At 40.9% G+C, this 17,222-nt stretch overlaps 2 protein-coding genes across 15 annotated transcripts in view; one reads left to right on the forward strand and one right to left on the reverse strand.

Moving 5' to 3' along the window:
* SPON1 (spondin 1) overlaps nucleotides 1-3,352 on the forward strand; it is a 305,411-nt gene extending 302,059 nt beyond the window's left edge. The window contains exon 16 of the mRNA NM_006108.4: nucleotides 743-3,352. Coding sequence (NP_006099.2) covers nucleotides 743-906 — 164 coding nt within the window. The 3' untranslated portion in view covers nucleotides 907-3,352. The remainder of the gene's footprint in view (nucleotides 1-742) is intronic.
* RRAS2 (RAS related 2) overlaps nucleotides 13,139-17,222 on the reverse strand; it is an 86,587-nt gene continuing 82,503 nt past the window's right edge. For 8 of the 14 annotated variants that reach the window (NM_001177314.2, NM_012250.6, NM_001102669.3 and 5 more), the window contains exons 5-6: nucleotides 16,821-16,939; nucleotides 13,141-14,643 (exon numbers count right to left, since the gene is read on the reverse strand). In NM_001177314.2, coding sequence (NP_001170785.1) covers nucleotides 14,556-14,643; nucleotides 16,821-16,939 — 207 coding nt within the window. In that variant the 3' untranslated portion in view covers nucleotides 13,141-14,555. Of the gene's footprint in view, nucleotides 14,644-15,642; nucleotides 15,781-16,820; nucleotides 16,940-17,222 lie in introns of all 14 variants that reach the window. The other 6 variants (NM_001440708.1, NM_001440710.1, NM_001440709.1 and 3 more) reach the window with 3 other exon arrangements.

Genomic DNA, 17,222 nt, shown 5'->3' on the forward strand with positions numbered 1-17,222 from the left:
CAAAAGATCTAACCTAATTAATCTCTGGGGTCAGGGAAGTTTTCTTGGAGAGCAGCATGTTTATGCTGAGTAGGAAGAACAAAAATTGTACTTCTCTATACTTAGCATTTGGGAGCCAAGTACTTGGGGAGTAAGGCATAAGAGAAAGTGGTTTAGTGTTCCTTATATGGCTGCTGCATAAGCCATCCCAAAACAGTCTTTTTAAACAATCACTTAGCAAGATTCTGTGGATCAGTGATGTGAACTGGGTCCACTGGATGGTTCTTCTTGGGTCTAGTTTGGACTCATTCATGTGGCTACTACTAGCTGGTGGCACAATTGGACCAGACCAGCCTCACCTGCGTATCTGGGGCCTCATGAGATGGCTGGGGCTTCTCTGCACATGGTCTCTCCAGTGGTCTAGCCAGGCTTGCTTACATGGTAGTAGAAGGGTCCTAGCAGCTTTTAGGCCTGTTTTTGCTCATGTCCCATTGGCCATGGCAAATCATGTAGTCAAGCCCAGATTCAAGAGGTGGAGAAACAGAGTCTGCCTTTTGATGAGAAGAACCGTGAAGCATTTGTGGCCATTTTTTTGCAGTCAGTCACATACGACCTAACTGTCCCTAATAACGACTCTAACCAATCATTACATACTTGAGCAGAGGAGGAGCCCAGACAAGCACATTTCACAGTTCTACTAGAGTTCAGCATCCCTGTTCCGTCCCGTTTCTGCGGGCCTAACAAGGCATTCTCATGCTTTCAGGTTGTAGGATGCGCCCATGGACGGCCTGGTCAGAATGCACCAAACTGTGCGGAGGTGGAATTCAGGAACGTTACATGACTGTAAAGAAGAGATTCAAAAGCTCCCAGTTTACCAGCTGCAAAGACAAGAAGGAGATCAGAGCATGCAATGTTCATCCTTGTTAGCAAGGGTACGAGTTCCCCAGGGCTGCACTCTAGATTCCAGAGTCACCAATGGCTGGATTATTTGCTTGTTTAAGACAATTTAAATTGTGTACGCTAGTTTTCATTTTTGCAGTGTGGTTCGCCCAGTAGTCTTGTGGATGCCAGAGACATCCTTTCTGAATACTTCTTGATGGGTACAGGCTGAGTGGGGCGCCCTCACCTCCAGCCAGCCTCTTCCTGCAGAGGAGTAGTGTCAGCCACCTTGTACTAAGCTGAAACATGTCCCTCTGGAGCTTCCACCTGGCCAGGGAGGACGGAGACTTTGACCTACTCCACATGGAGAGGCAACCATGTCTGGAAGTGACTATGCCTGAGTCCCAGGGTGCGGCAGGTAGGAAACATTCACAGATGAAGACAGCAGATTCCCCACATTCTCATCTTTGGCCTGTTCAATGAAACCATTGTTTGCCCATCTCTTCTTAGTGGAACTTTAGGTCTCTTTTCAAGTCTCCTCAGTCATCAATAGTTCCTGGGGAAAAACAGAGCTGGTAGACTTGAAGAGGAGCATTGATGTTGGGTGGCTTTTGTTCTTTCACTGAGAAATTCGGAATACATTTGTCTCACCCCTGATATTGGTTCCTGATGCCCCCCCAACAAAAATAAATAAATAAATTATGGCTGCTTTATTTAAATATAAGGTAGCTAGTTTTTACACCTGAGATAAATAATAAGCTTAGAGTGTATTTTTCCCTTGCTTTTGGGGGTTCAGAGGAGTATGTACAATTCTTCTGGGAAGCCAGCCTTCTGAACTTTTTGGTACTAAATCCTTATTGGAACCAAGACAAAGGAAGCAAAATTGGTCTCTTTAGAGACCAATTTGCCTAAATTTTAAAATCTTCCTACACACATCTAGACGTTCAAGTTTGCAAATCAGTTTTTAGCAAGAAAACATTTTTGCTATACAAACATTTTGCTAAGTCTGCCCAAAGCCCCCCCAATGCATTCCTTCAACAAAATACAATCTCTGTACTTTAAAGTTATTTTAGTCATGAAATTTTATATGCAGAGAGAAAAAGTTACCGAGACAGAAAACAAATCTAAGGGAAAGGAATATTATGGGATTAAGCTGAGCAAGCAATTCTGGTGGAAAGTCAAACCTGTCAGTGCTCCACACCAGGGCTGTGGTCCTCCCAGACATGCATAGGAATGGCCACAGGTTTACACTGCCTTCCCAGCAATTATAAGCACACCAGATTCAGGGAGACTGACCACCAAGGGATAGTGTAAAAGGACATTTTCTCAGTTGGGTCCATCAGCAGTTTTTCTTCCTGCATTTATTGTTGAAAACTATTGTTTCATTTCTTCTTTTATAGGCCTTATTACTGCTTAATCCAAATGTGTACCATTGGTGAGACACATACAATGCTCTGAATACACTACGAATTTGTATTAAACACATCAGAATATTTCCAAATACAACATAGTATAGTCCTGAATATGTACTTTTAACACAAGAGAGACTATTCAATAAAAACTCACTGGGTCTTTCATGTCTTTAAGCTAAGTAAGTGTTCAGAAGGTTCTTTTTTATATTGTCCTCCACCTCCATCATTTTCAATAAAAGATAGGGCTTTTGCTCCCTTGTTCTTGGAGGGACCATTATTACATCTCTGAACTACCTTTGTATCCAACATGTTTTAAATCCTTAAATGAATTGCTTTCTCCCAAAAAAAGCACAATATAAAGAAACACAAGATTTAATTATTTTTCTACTTGGGGGGAAAAAAGTCCTCATGTAGAAGCACCCACTTTTGCAATGTTGTTCTAAGCTATCTATCTAACTCTCAGCCCATGATAAAGTTCCTTAAGCTGGTGATTCCTAATCAAGGACAAGCCACCCTAGTGTCTCATGTTTGTATTTGGTCCCAGTTGGGTACATTTTAAAATCCTGATTTTGGAGACTTAAAACCAGGTTAATGGCTAAGAATGGGTAACATGACTCTTGTTGGATTGTTATTTTTTGTTTGCAATGGGGAATTTATAAGAAGCATCAAGTCTCTTTCTTACCAAAGTCTTGTTAGGTGGTTTATAGTTCTTTTGGCTAACAAATCATTTTGGAAATAAAGATTTTTTACTACAAAAATGAAATTTGTTTGGACTTCCACTTGAGACAGTAAAGAGAGTATTAGACACCCAGTAAAAACTGCCATATAAAGAAGTTGTAATTGTTTGTTGTGTATGTATTTTTTTCAATGCCAAACCAGCTGTGATCCAATTTACATCCACATTTTAGGTCCAACAGCAAGAAGTTCAGAGAGAGATTTCCCAACCAGACATTGGGTCACTCACTGGTCACCTTGCCAGTGCATTTTATTAGAAGGGAATCTGTTGTAGCAAATGGGAATAAACCTGGGTTTCTATAGACCCAGAACTGAAAAAATAAACATCGTGCTGTTTTTAATTTGAACTTTGCATATTGAACATATTTTAGGGATACTCAAAGTCTATGTACTCCCTCCAGGAAGTAAGGATACATTACACATTCTCACACAACTATAGCTCTCCAGAAATAGTCCAGGTCAAGGGCATGGCTAAAATGTGCTATGGCTTGAGTTTGTTCCCACCAAAACTCACGCTTGAAATTTGATCCCCAAGGTGGCCGCGCTGGGAGGTGGGCCTAGTGGGAAGGGTTTGGGTCATGCAGGCATATCCCTCATGAATGGCTTGGTACCATTGTAGTGAAGTAGTTCTCTCTCTAGACTGACTTAGTTCTCACAGAATTGTTCCCAAGGGAGTAGGTTGTTACGAAGCCAGGATGCCCCTTGGTTTTGCCTCTTCAAACACATCCATGTCCCCTTTGACCTTCCCCGCTATGACACAGCATGAAAAGCCCTCAACAGAAATGGAGCAGATGCTGGCAACATGCTTCTTGTACTTCCTAGCCTGAAGAATCATGAGCTAAATAAAATAAACCTTTTTTCTTTATAAATTACCCAGCCTAAGGTATTGTTATAGCAACATTAAAAGGACTAAGATGAGTATCAATACACAAAAATTCTCAAAGTCAAATTATTTCTGTGACTTATTTCTGTTTAGTCCACATTTCAGACAATGGTTAAAAAATAAAATTTTTTTCTGAGATGGAGTTTCGCTCTTTTTGCCCAGGCTGGAGTGCAGTGACACGATCTCAGTTCACTGCAACCTCCACCTCCCCGGTTCAAGCAATTCTCCTGCCTCAGCCTCCCGAGTAGCTGGGACTACAGGCGCCCACCACCACGCCTGGCTAATTTTTTGTATTTTTAGTAGAGACAGGGTTTCTCCATGTTGGTCAGGCAGGTCTCAAACTCCCAACCTCAGGTGATCCAACTGCCTCAGCCTCCCAAAGTGCTGGGATTACAGGCGTGAGCCACCACGCCCAGCAAAAAAAATAATGTTTTAAATAAAAAATCCAGCCTGGGCAACATGGCAAAGCCCTGTCTATACAAAAAATACAAAAATTGTCTGGGTGCGGTCACTCACGCCTGTAATCCCAGCAGACTTTGGGAGGCGGAGACAGGTGGATTATCTGAGGTCAGGAGTTTGAGACTTCCCTGGCCAACATGGTGAAACCCCGTCTCTACTAAAAATACAAAAATTAGCTGAGCATGGTGGTGTGCGACTGTAGTCCCAGCTACTCAGGAGGCTGAGGCAGGAGAATCACTTGAACCAGGGAGGCAGAAGTTGCAGTGAGCCGAGGTCGCACCACCGCACTCAAGCCTGGGCAACAGAGAGACTGTCTCCAAAAAAAAAAAAAAAAGCCAGCATGGTGGTGCGTGCCTATAGTCCCAACTACACTGAAAGCTGAGATGAGAGAATCACCTGAACCCAGGAGGTAGTCTGCTGTGGGCCATGTTCATACCACTGCACTCCAGCCTGAATGACATAGTAAGACTCTGTCTCAAAAAAAATCAGAAAGCTCAAGACCTGTAGAAAGGCCTCTCCTCAGCTTATAATGGAATCTGACCATTAAAAGAGCTCAGCTTTGGAAGTTCAGCTACAAAGGAGCTAAATATTTATTCCCTAACGATAGACTCTGTTGTTCAAACAAACAAACAAAAAAAACTAAACATTAATGTTTAATCCTTAATTATAACATAGACTCAAGGAAGACACAGTCATTTCCTCTATTTTGTTATGTGATGCTATCAATTTTAATAAGAGAATGATTCATGTTGTTCTTCATATTGCCCAATGTAGGGAGAATGAATAAAAATAAATCCCTTTTGAAAATGAGATGCAGTAACAAATTATAAATAGCAGCCGAATGCTAATTAGCATGAAGCTAATTCTTCAATTTACATCCTTTGAAATCTGAAAGCAAAAGATCTACACTAAAATGTCAAATTTAAATAATGACATCCTGCTTTAGAAACCCTGTTGGTTCAGAAGGCTTCACATGCTCTGTAGGGTGGAGAGCAGAGGCTGTGTCATGGTTCAGTACCACGGACCTAGGTTCAAACCACTGCTGCACCTGAGTACCCATGAGGGTTGGGGCCAGTTATTTTACCTTTTCTGGCCTTAGGCTTCGACACAAACTCTCTCCTACTAGCAGACACCTCTACTCCACCTCCACAATTTAGACAATTCTTACACGTGGGTCTTGATGGTATCCTGTTGTAGGACTCATTGAAAGCCAACTGCACTCCACCCAACCCTCACTTCATAAATAAGTAAATGCATGCACTGTGTGAAGCTGGTTTGGGTTGCATTTCTGTCACTTATAACTGAAAATGTCATGACAAATAAAATATGCATGCATAATTTTACAGTTATCAGAGCAAAATGAAATTTGTCTTCACTTAACATTCATAATATTCATAATGTCTTAACATAAGATAGCACTCATTAACATTTTCTCATACTGTTCTAAATACTCCTAGTCTTTATAACTGATTGGTAATAGTTCTCATATTTTAAGCAGTTGCATGTTTAAGCAATTTTTCTTTACCTCAAATAATCTGTAAGTATTCACAGAAGGGAAAAGGGTGAAAACATCTTATTCAAGTCTACTGACTCCAACACCTGGAGTTGGTATAAACATAGTCCCTCTTTTTCTAGTGTTGGAATGTAACTGTTACTCAGTGGTTCTAACCTGGAATCACTAGCCTACAGAGGAAGTCAAAAGCGCCACCTGTGAAAAACACTCGACTCTCCTGCTCCCTTCCCCACTACACTAGTGCTGCCCAAATCAAGACCTGCAGCCTGATAAGATCCACAAATGAGATAAAGAAACTGAAAGCAAGTGTTTAGAAACTCTTAATTTGACACTGCCATGATATACAGGAGAATGATTATTTTCCAAATAATTCATTTTTTATAACATTTAGAAAAGTATCAGTCCACAACACTGGAGACTAACAATCTTTTAACCTGGCCCTCCAATGCAGATAAGTCTTGAGAAGCTGCACTGTGCCACTCTCCCCCATCAGAGAGGCATGTGCTAGAGTCTGCGAACTAGGTTTCTAAATTTCTCAAACGCTGAAGGATCCAGGTGTGAATACATAGTTCCAGATCTGCATACCTCCCTATCTGTGATTAAGTAACTTGCAGTGGCTTATTCTTATTCCTCTAACCTCCTACCCTGTAAAACAAGATAACTTCCCCATCTTGCCCTGCTTTTGCCACAGAATTTCTCAAAATAGCCCACACTTACTTCCTCCACATCCTTAGCCTCCAATCACACCTCAACTCACTATCATCTGGTTTCCACAACCAGAAGACTGAAATAAATCTAAGGAAGTCATCAGCAACCGCACAAGACCAGTGCAGCCTCTCACTCCCCCATCCTCTGCACAGCACTCAATGCTTTCCACCACCTCCGTGGCTTCCTTCACAAAACAGCCTCGTGGTTCTCTCCAGTTTCTGGCTACTTCTCTTGGCTTTTTGCTGCCTCTTCATCTTCTACCTCCCATGTTTGTTTTCCCCAAAGTTTTACCCTTGGACCCTCTCCTCAAACACTCTCTTCCTGGAGGATATTACCCATTCTTATCTCCTCAATCACTAAGCTCAAAAGAGACAAATTTCAAATCTGCATTCCTAGTCCGAGCAGCCTCTTTTGACCTCCAATTCCCATTCCCCATTCCCAAATGCCTCCTGGACTAACCCTGTATGGGATTGTCACATAAATTTCTATCACTAGAGAGTTGCCTATACTCCTTATTTTAATTAATAGCACCACCACCTTCCTGGTCATCCAGACAGTATTTTGGAGACTCAAACATCACTTGGATATCCCTCCAGTGTTCAGTCTCCTTCTCCCCATGTCACTGCAGTTCAGGTCTTCATTGTCTCTCTTTCTGAAATCATCCATTCATCAAATGGCTTTTCAGCACATGCCAGGCAATATAAACACAACAGACGTGATTCTGCCCTCACTGAGTTTATAATACTAAGAGAACAGATTCCATGATTCCAACAACCTCTATCTGACCACCAAATTTGCACTTCTCTGCCATTATGCTACCACTAGATTAGATCCAGGCACCTCCTGTTCAGAATCCTTGGCAGTTTCCCATTATACACAGAAGGGCCATCCTATTTAAAGCCCTCCACAACCTGATCCCAGTCTATTTTATCATATTTTTTTCCCATTGCATGTAGAATCTTTTTAGGCCAAGGTTCCAGTCCAGAATACACCCTGCATTCTGCCAACTCTGGGCCTTTCTCATCTTTCCACCCTCACTCTTCTCTCCTCTCCATCTCAAATCCTACCAATCCATCGAGCTCCAGCTTAAACACCAATTCTAATTAAGAAGTTCCCTCAGATTTTCCAGGAGAAATATATGCTACAATCCCTTCTGCTGGACAACACTTTTTGAATGCTTTTCCTACTCTGCCTTGAAAGTGGGTCCCAGCATTTGTTTTTATCACTCTAAAACTTCCTGCACTAGACTCTGAGTAATTTGAAAAAAAAGGAAAATCTCCACATTTATCCATTTCCCCAGAATGCCTATTACTGCCATGCACAAAAAAAAAAAAAAAAAAAAAACATGCTCAGTCAAGTATTTTTAATTAAAATACCTTTTGCTAAAAATTACTTTGAAATTTTAGAAGCAATCACTGGTTAAATACCCTTAAGTGATTAAGTGATGTGTTTGAAAAAGACCATTTGATTATCATCTCCTTCTATTTACCTGCCAGTTATCTGGAGGTTGTTTGCTTTTTTAGACAGTTTCGCTCTGTCACCAGGCTGGAGTGCAGTGGCACAATCTTGGCTCACTGCAACCTCCACCTCCGGGGTTCAAGCGATCCTCCTGCCTCAGCCTCCCAAGTAGATGGGACTACAGGTGTGCACCACCACACCCAGCTAATTTTTTGGATTTTTAGTAGAGGCGGGGTTTCACCATGTTAGCCAGGATGGTCTCAATCTCTTGACCTCATGATCCGCCAGCACTTTGGAAGGCCTGAGGCAGGTGGATCACCTGAGATCAGGAGTTCAAGACCAACCTGGCCAACACGGCAAAACTTCATCTCTCCTAAAAATACAAAAATTAGCCGGCTATGGTGGCGCATGCCTGTAATCCCAGCTACTCAGGAGTCTGAGGCAGGAGAATCACTTGAACCCAAGAGGCGGAGGCTGCACTGAGCCAAGATCGTGCCACTCCACTCCAGTCTGGACAACAGAGCAAAACTCCATCTGAAAATAAATAAATAAATAAATAGATAGATAGGGTCTCACTATTAGGCTGATCACAGGATCATAGCTCTACTGCTGCCTCAAACTTCCTGGGCTAAAATACTCCTCCCACCTCAGTCTCCAGAGTAGCTGAGACTGCAGACACATGCCACCATGCCCAGCTAATTTCTATTTTTACTTTTTTATGGAGACAGGATCTGGCTATGTTGCCTGGGCTGGTCTTGAACTCTTGGTCTCAAGCAATCCACGTGCCTTGTCGTCTCAAAGTGCTGGGATTAGAGGCATGAGATACTATGCTTGGCCCCTACTTACCTGTTAAGTGGGATCATTACGTATAGCGTACAGCTATGGGAAAAGAAATAAAATGAATTAAAACAAGTGGTGATAAACAGAAGAGGAGCAAGCTAGACAAAGTATATACAACCTTGTTACATCACATTTTAAAAGTCAAATGATAAAATAGTCAATAAGGGCACAATCTATGCCAATAAGGGCATAATGTCCAACTCTGAGATACTGTAAATCTCTAAACAAACAATATAGAAAGAAAACACCTAGAACACAAATTCATGACCATCCATTCAGGAAATGCTGTCTGAAAGAACTTCCACATAAAGAGACTTAAGAGATTCTAAAGAATCGCTCAAATGCTAAATGTGCTATAATAAAGCAGGGCTGGCAAACCATGGCCTGTGGGTCAAATCCATCCCACCATCTGTTTTTGTACAGAATGGTTTTCACAACTGCAAAAAGAGAGTCATATTTCATGACATATGATGATGACATGAAACACAAACATCAGTATACACAAAGTTTTATTGGAACACAGCCACATTCATTTAGACATTGCTTATGGCTGCTTCAGTGCTATAATGGCAGGCTAGACTAGTTGGGACAGAGATATAGCCGCCAAAGCCCAAGATGACACTTACAATCTGGCCCTTTATGAAAAAATTTGCAAACTCCCAATTATAGAGAAAAAATGGCCACATAGACAAGGACTATTCATTCCATGAGACTGTCCACTCTTTTTAAGAAAAGTTTCAAGTCAGAGATTTAAAAAGCTACAAGGCAAATGGGAAACACTTCAACTTCCAATCACAATGGAGTAACAGGAACCAGATTAACCCTCCTATCTTAGACAATTTAAAAACTGGACTAAGCCGGGCACAGTGGCTCATACCTGTAATCCCAGCACTTTGGGAGGCTGAGGCAGGCGGATCACGAGGTCAGGAGTTTGAAACCAGCCTGGCCAACATGGTGAAAACCCGTTTCTACTAAAAATACAAAAATTAGCTGGGCATGGTTGTGCGAGCCTGTAATCCCAGCTACTCAGGAGGCTGAGGCAAGAGAATTGCTTGAACTTGGAAGCCAGAGGTTGCAGTGAGCCAAGATCGCACCACTGCACTCCAGCCTGGGCAACAGAACATGACTTTGTCTCGGAAGAAAAAAAACTGGACTAGTCGGGTGTGGTGGCTCACGCCTGTAATCCCAGCACTTTGGGAGGCCGAGGGGGGCGGATCACCTGAGGTCAGGAGTTCGAGACCAGACTGGCCAACATGATGAAAGCCCATCTCTACTAAAAATACAAAAATTAGCCAGGTGTGGTGGCACATGCCTGTAATCCCAGCTATTCGGGAGGCTGAGGCAGGAGAATTGCTTGAACTCAGAAGGCGGAGGTTGCAGTGAGCTGAGATCGCACCACTGCACTCCAGCTTGGGCAATAGAGCAAGACTGTGTCTCAAAACAAAAACAAAAACAAAAACAAAAACCCTAGACTAAATACATTCAGACATTGTACACCAGGTAGCAAAGGACTACAATCCTGATGGAAGGGAAAGAAGTTGGGTAAGCCTCAACACTGCCCTGGCCATCTGCCTGGAGGCACATTCCAGACTGTAGAGGGGATGGGGGATTCCATGTAGAACACAAATGTTTCCCTGGGCTGAAAGGAGACATTAAAGAACAGGAAGTCTGAAACAACTAGAAGTCACAGGACAAAGTTGTGCTGAGAAGACAGCTACACATAAAAAGAGATCCAAAAACATGCATAGAGTTTATGAGTCTTTGCTGACTATTAAGATACATATGTCTAGGATGAAAACTCCAGGAGGTTGGGCAAAGAATGACCCAGGAACTGTGAATAGAATTGTTCCCTAGAGCTCACACGGGGCTGGGAATTCTTTGAGTTCCCACAAGCCAAATTGATAATTCAGGGCATTCAGCAGACAGACCCCAAAAGGGTCATACTTTAGTAGTGGAGCTAAACTAGCCTGGGAAAAAGGCTACTTGAGACTGTATTAGCTTTAAAAGAGATCTCGAAAGGATCAAACTGAACTGCAGTCAGTAAATTAACTATCAGAACGAAACCCAACAAAGACGCCAACAAAATCTAGATACCCAACAACATAAAATACACAATGTCCTTCATCCAACCAAAACTTACTTGGCATGTGAAAAAACAAAAAAAATGTGACCTATAACTAGAGAAAAATCAGTCAGTAGAAACAAATCCAAAAATTATACAAGCAATAGAATCAGCAAAGACTCAAAACAGCTATTATAACTACATTCAAATATTCAAAGCAGTCTTTCTCAATCACAGTTCTGTAAGAGAATTGAGCCCCACAGAAAGTTATTTGAGGAACTATTTTCTTTATTTTCCCAAGGATGGTACATGGCTGTGCCATTCTAGATGCAAACGTACAATGCAAATTTTCCAGATGCAAATTGGGCCCTAATGCCGTATCTGTTGTGTGTTAATTCAGGGCTCAATGTTCTGCAAAACCAGTTGAGAGGGGCTGGTTAAGAGGAATACATGAACATAATGAGGAGAAAAACAAAATATATATATATATACCCAAACATAATTTCCAGGGGGAAAAAAACCCACAAAATCCAAAATGAAAATTCACTGGATAGGATTCATAGCAGATTAAACAGCAGCAAAAGAAATGGTTATGGGGATCGGGTGTAGTGCCTCAAGCCTGTAATCCAAACACTTTGGGAGGCTGAGGTGGGCAGACAGCTTGAGTCCAGGAGTTTGAGACCAGCTTAGGCAACAGGGCAAGACCTCATCTCTACACAAAGTATAAAAAGTAGCCAGGTGTGGTAGAATGTGCCTCTGTAGCCCCACCTACTCAAGAGGCTTAAGGGGGAGGATGACTTTGAGCCCGAGGCAGGTTGCAGTGAGCCAAGATGGCGCCACTACATGCCAACCTGGGCAACAGATCAAGACCTTGTCTCTACTAAAGAAGGGGAAGAGGGAGGGGAAGAGGAAGAGGGAGGGGAAGGGAACAAGCAGGGAGGGAGGAAGGGAGGGAGAGATGGAGATGGGACTTGAAGATGTAGTAATAAAAACAATCCAGCCAGGCACGGTGGCTCACGCCTGTAATCCTAGCACTTTGGGAGGCCAAGGTGGGTGGCTCACGAGGTCAGGAGTTCAAGACCAGCCTGGCCAAGATGGTGAAACCCCACCTCTACAAAAATTAGCCAGGCATAGTGGCAGGCACCTGTAATCTCAGCTACTTGGGAGGCTGAGGCAGAGAACTGCTTGAACCATGGAGGTGGAGGTTGCAGTGCAGATCACGCCACTGCACTCCAGACTGGGCAGCAGAGCGAGACTGTCTCAAAAAATAATAATAATAATACAAAGTAAAGCATAAAGAGGAAAAAAGGTAAACTGAGATAATAAAAGTTGATGGGTTTCTCATTAAATCTGGATATTATGTAAGCAATCTCGTTATCTGAAGTTAACTAAAACAAATAAACTTTGCCAACTGAAAGTACTACCAAGGATACATGATAGTGCTACAGTAACAAAAGCCACAGGATAAACATGGTATCTTCCTGGGCAGTAATTGTACTAGAAGACATGGAAGATAATTCCATATCAACATAGTTATACTATCAAGTACAGTGCATAATTACACAATTTTTTTTTTTGAGACACAGTCTCAATCTGTCACCCAGGCTGGCGTGCATTGGCACGATCTCAGCTCACTGCAACCTCTGCCTCCCAAATTCAAGTGATTCTCCTGCCTCAGCCTCCCAAATAGCTGGGATTACAGGCACCCGCCACCACACCCAGCTAATTTTTGTATTTTTAGTAGAGATGGGGTTTCATCATGTTGGTCAGGCAGTCTCGAACTCCTAACCTCAGGTGATCCACCTGCCTCAGCCTCCCAAAGTGCTGGGATTACAGGTGTGCGCCACTGCACCCAGACAATTATATTATTTTTACTGGTCTTCAAATAAATGTGTGTGTGGCTTTAGCTGTTTTCAGTTTCATCTTCATGGGGTATCTGTGTAGGTATTCACCTTCCTCTACAGTTGGGTTTCTATATCAGGAGCACTTCATAGAAAAAGTTTAAGAAACACGGACTTAAGTAAATATTCAACAAGTCAAAGAACATCAAACTGTTTCACATCCCCTCCACCTGCTGAATGACCAATGCTGACTTCTAGATTCAAACCCTAAGGCACTGGAGAAAAGGAACAGAGCTACTAAAGTAAGTTTCACTAACACTTGTTCCCTTAAGAAACCACTTAATTAACACAATGAGTAATCAAACATCATCTTGTGATAACAGATCAATTTTAATTCTAGCACCTGAAGCTATACAAGGGTATGCTCTATAAACTTCATGGGACTGTTGTACACACTTGATAAAGTGACAACTGTGCAATACCACTTAGCATCTCAAAATCAGGAACATACTATTGAATTGCTTAAACACAATCCACAGAATTAAAAACAAAATCAGATGCCATCCACAGTTATACTAATTATCCATTAAAAGCTTACACTTAATACTTGAAATAACAATCAATATCTAGCAGGGAATACTGAAAGTGATTTCAGAGTCTCATCCTGTTGTACTCTATTGGGAAGGTTTCTTGAGTAGTTATGTGACTGGCCAAAGATGGGTACAACCAAGACCAGACCAGCAAGTAAAAGTTCTACCACAGTTTCTGTAGTTTCCACTTGTTTTTCTTTGTCAGTTAAAAGTGAACAGTGAGAATTAAATACTTATCTTTACATATACACAAGGTATGCTATGAAAGCATATCTGCTTACAAACATATAAAAATACTTGTTAACTAGTTTGATAAGAAAATAATGTATAAAAGTATATAGCAAAAACATTAATCATCTCTGACCCTGGAAAGATCAATTCCATATTTTATATTACAAACAAAAACAGTTTTAGTTTTTTGAATCCCTTACCCAGAAATACTTGAAAAGGAAGACAGAAGGAAATTATTCCTTTTTACCCTTAGCGTGGCTGTGAAAAAGAGTTAAATTAAAAAATCAAGTACACTGAAATATCTAAGTCCTAAATGAGTCCAAATATTTGACCACATAGAATATTATCATCTCCAAGAGTAGGAGTAGTAACACAGGGTTTTATAAGCAGTTTTTAATCCATAAATACAACAGGCATTTGGTATTTTGGCCATCAGAAAACAAAAGTTGTAGTATCAGTAAAGGTCTGAGATGGTTCACTTTTGTAGATTCAATTCAGTGTATTTAAGGTTAACAAAGGCTGACATTGAAATGTTTAAAGATAGGCAAAAATTCACATTAAAAAAAACCCTATATTTCTATTTAGAGTAACAGTAGGCAGTATGATTCCAAAAGTTAAAAATTATTTCACAACCTGTAGCTTCAGCTTGGCAAACAGCTTAGATTCCAAAACTGATTCATCTCTATTAAAATGTAAGCACTTAAAAAAAGAGCATGTCTGTGTATATAGACATATATTTTAAAGGAATCAGATAATCTTTGAAGCAGCCTTAGTGTTTCCTTTAAATTTGTCTGGAAATGACCATTGTATTAGCTTCACAGAAAGGACTAGCCAGCTTCTTCGTCTAAGGCTAACATGGTGATCATTTGTCTAAGGCTAGAAAGGTACCAACAAGATGTAAACTGAGGAGAGAAAGAGAAGATGAGGGCTTTTCCTGGCCGTTGGTAGCTAAAACTGAAGGGATTCTAGAAAATGACACAATGGCAGCCTTTCTTGTCTTTTTCTTTCCGTGTTGGTTCTGGTGAAGGAGGACATTCCTGCTCTTGAAATTTCCTGTAAGATAAAAAATTCTAAAATATAATTGCCTTCTTGGTAATCTACTATTACAAACACAGGTTATTTTTTGTACAAGTTCACTTTTAAGTGTGTATGCTTTTCAGTGTTAAACTTCAACGAGGGAATTTCTCTCTTTCCTACCCCCACCAAAAAAGGGCACAAACGCGTCAACACCAGCACAAGCAGAGCTATGAAGCTGCTTTAATGGATGAGTCCTGAATCAGACGAGATACTAGACTCAGTAATCTCTAAGTTCCCATCCCAATTTGAAATTCCATGACTCTAAGGTATCCTTAAGAATAAAGATTCATCATTAGAGTGCAATATAAAATTAACCTTATGAGGTATGCAGGTCTTATCTGTGTTCTGCCATTTTTTAAATTCAGTATTAGACAAAGTTAGTTGACCTAGTCTGAGCCCCAGTTTTTTTAGAGGGGAATAATGGAAACCTACCTTTCACAGCTGTTGTGAGGATTAAAGATCTTGTGATGTTAGAATATATCTAATAGCTCCTGGCATTAAAAACAAAACAAACAAAAAACCTCCTCTACTTCTCCCCTCATTCCTGAATTACTGATGGGTAAGGAGAGATCCTAAGAACCAAAACAAAGGACAACATTTCAAAACGGCAGTCATAATTATTTTAAGAAGGCACTGCCTCATCAGTTGCTTAACACTAAAATGGAACTGGAATGGGAAAGGGGGGTAAAATACATATAACATAAAATTTTCCATCTTAATCATTTTTAAGTATACAATTTGATGGTATCAAGTATATGCATGATGTTGTGCAACCATCATCGCCATCCATCTCCAGATCTCTTTTTCATCTTATAAAACCGAGACTCTTACCATTAAAAAAAAATGGGACTGGGATTTTTAACAAACTACTAAAAAAGAAAAAGCTATAACCTTCACTTTTTTTTCCTCCACAGAAAGACAATGCCTTGGCAAGGAGCTAATAAGTAGAAGATCATCGCTCAGGTGTCAATTTACCTTAGATACAAAATAAATACGCAGCCCAGGTGCGGTGGCTCACGCTGTAATCCCAGCACTTTGGGAGGCTGAGGCGGGTGGAACACGAGGTCAGGAGTTCGAGACCAGCCTGGCCAATATGGTGAAACCCCATCTCTACTAAAAATACAAAGATTAGCTGGATGTGGTGGCAGGCGCCTGTAAATCCCAGCTATTCAGGAGGCTGAGGCAGAGAATTGCTTGAACCCAGGAGGCGGAGGTTGTAATGAGCCGAGATCACACCACTGCACTCCAGCCTGGGTGACAAAGAGAAACTCTGTTTCCAAAAAAAAAAAAAAAAAAAAAAAAAAAAAAAGCAGCCCACTTCACATTCCTATCAAACTGTCTAACTAGCAGAGAATCCCAGATCTACAGAGCAGAGTATGAAACAGGGGCCAGGCATCAAGACCCAAAATAATAAATCAAATCCTACTCACTAAAGCAACTTCATCTTTCTCACCCACAAACGTACCTCGTAATTCTATCAGACCTCACCCAACACCTTAAGCTTCCTGGAACCCGTTAACACTTTTTAAACCAAAAGGCCCCCTATGGCATCTAACAGAAAAATTCTCTGTTGTGTGGGACATTATACTTCACACCTTACAGGATTATTTAATCTCTACTACCTGGTTTACTCTTAGCCTGGGATGAGCTGGATAAAAAGAAAGGTAGGAGCACAGGCTCTGGAATCAGAGGTTTGAATTAAAGCCCCAGTTCTGCCATTTAATATGTCTTAATTTGAACAAGCTATTTAACTTCTTTCTCTGTACCCCCATTTTCTCCTCTGAAAGTGAGGATAAAACAGTATTTAGTTTATTGGGCGAGGGTGAGGATTACATGTAATAATACACGTAAAAACGTTTAGCACAGAAGCTGGCAGAGACTACCATGCAAAAGTTAGCTGCTGTCATCACTATCTTCACACCATCACCCCCTTTGGAAGCAGCATTTATTCTTATCAAAATCCTATGTGTACTTTATACTTCATAATTAAATTATATTTTATATTCTAGAAGTGCCTAGAATATGTACTTAAAAATTGTAATGCACCATGTGCATTAATCCCTAGAAAGGAATCACTTCCATATAAAATATCCTTACTAAAAACATTTAATAGTAATTTATTAAAACACACATCTAGAATGTGTTTTGCTTACCTGATAACCCGGACAAGTTCATGGAAAGCTTGATCTACATTCATCCTAATCTTTGCTGATGCCTCCATGTATGTTACCTTAAGCTGCCGTGCTAACTGTTGTCCTTCTTCCTGTGTTACCTGAAATTCCAACAGTTATGTTTATGGTACATTATTAACAACTGGATTTGTTCCATCTAATCCTGGCCACAGATTGTGCTAATAATTCAGCCAAGAGGCCAAGTTGTTTTATCATAAGGTGAAACAACAGACTTAACAGCTCAAGATAAACTAAAGCCCACCTCTGCAGAACAATGCAGAAGAACATATCTGTGATGGAAATACTAGCCTACAACAATATTTCCAAATACAGATCACACAAAAAGTATTAAATACAACAGTAATACATTCTGGGAAGGGAAAG

The sequence above is a fragment of the Homo sapiens genome, chromosome 11, assembly GCF_000001405.40.
Source record: "Homo sapiens chromosome 11, GRCh38.p14 Primary Assembly".
Lineage (NCBI taxonomy): Eukaryota > Metazoa > Chordata > Mammalia > Primates > Hominidae > Homo > Homo sapiens.